Below are 1,958 nucleotides of genomic sequence, written 5' to 3'. Positions count from 1 at the left end.
AGATGAGAAAAAAGGTCTCTACTTTCACCCTGTTCATCTTTCTCTTCCCTTGTTGTCCAGATTCTGTGGATCTCCTTCTGTATGGCTGACATACTTCCGGTCCCAGACCAGTCCTCACTGGGATGAGACTGTATTCCATGTGGACCTGCAATAATAACTGCAGATTCTCTCAATCTGTCTGGAGTCACACAAAAATCACTTGAAGCAGTGAATCTTTACCAATGGCACACCTTCACTGTCTCTGCAGAAATGTCTGTTACTAATGAATTAATCCCTACCACTTCACCTGTACTGGCTTCCCCCGGGACCTCTAACCTCCATGTTTTCAGCATTCTTCCTGGCAGCCAACTGCAGGAGTGGTGTGTTGTGGTTCCAGCTTTCTCAAAGGAAGAGTAACTTCCTGACAGAGGTCCAACTTAAAAATTCCTTCTTCACTGGTCAAATTCTGGGTGCCATAGTACCTCTACTGAAGACAAGTGCTCAGATTTGTAGTTTTTAAATCACTTCCCCCACTATCTTCTGGGTTTCCCTTCTTGGTTCACCATAGGCTCTGCTTTAAATGTTCTTCAAGATGGCAAAGATTTAAATCCAATCTAAATGTTAGAAAACTTCCTTAAACTTTGCTAACTACAAAATAAGGAAGAAGAAAAGCAGAGCGGCAAAAAGAAGAAGGAAAAAGAGAGGGGAGTTATACTCAACAGAGAAATGCAGACATCAGGAATCAGTCAGAGTGAAATGTGATCCCAACAGCACTGTAACTCTCTGCCTGTACCTTGACAGCCCAGGCATAGTTCCAAAGTCATCTCTGCATCAGGTCAGTGCATTTGACATCCATCCTGCCTTGAGGATCCCCTCTATCCTCCCACCAGCCCAAAGTTCCCAAATACCATCAGCAGACTTTCAAGCCCAACATCTGAGTCTAAAGGCATAGCAGCATAACACTTAAAATCTCTGTCATTCAGAGCCTCACTATGGCACTCATACAAAAAAATATCAAATTGGAAGCTTTTCAATCATAATTTAATTCCAGGCATGCTCATATTTGAAGAGATTAAAATTATTTAATTGAGTTTGCTTGAGATTTTTAACAAAATTAGATAGTAGAAAGAAATGTGAGAAAACAAAATCATCCCTATTTACAACTGATATGATTGTACACCTAAATAACCTAAGAGAATCCACTGGAAAATAAATAGAAATGAAGTGGAGTATAAAGTTAATACGCAGAAACCAGCAGTCATCCTACATCCAAACAACAGCCATAAGCCAACATAATGGAAGAGATAATCCTGTATATAAGAGCAGCAAAGAGGATTAAATATATGGAAATAAACTTAACAAGAAATGTACAAAATCTATATGAGAAAGACCTTGAAATAATCTCAAAAGACACAAAAGTAGACCTGAAAAATAGATATACCATGTTCTTGGAAAGTAACTCTCAGCATTATAGATACATCAATTATCCTAATTAATCTATAAATTTAATATAATTCTCATAAAATACTAATAGATATTCTGAAGTAGACAAGCTGGTTCTAAAGTTCTACAGGGAAAATTGAAGAATAACCAGAAAACTCTTAAAAAGAAGAAGACTGGCACTACAAGATATCTTAGTAGATACCTGAAAAAAACTGCTGGATCTACATTTTACACTACATGGAGATAAGTTCCAAATGTATCAAATATTTAATCATAAATCTTAAAACCACTAATGTGCTAGAACATGTAAGTGAATTGCTTTATAACCGTGGCATTGTGAAGGCCTTTCTAACTTACCTTTTAAAATCCTAAAGCCTAAAAGAAAAGGTAAAAGTCAACAAAATGAAAACTAACAATTTTTTCACAGAAAAAAAAACACATAAGCAAAGTCAAAAGACAAATAATGCTAGAGAATTTACTTGAAACATACCACTAAGTACTAATCTCCACTTTATGTTTTTAAAAAATATCCAGAA

The sequence above is a fragment of the Homo sapiens genome, chromosome X, assembly GCF_000001405.40.
Source record: "Homo sapiens chromosome X, GRCh38.p14 Primary Assembly".
NCBI classification, from domain to species: domain Eukaryota; kingdom Metazoa; phylum Chordata; class Mammalia; order Primates; family Hominidae; genus Homo; species Homo sapiens.
Note: the sequence above shows the minus strand (reverse complement) of the source record.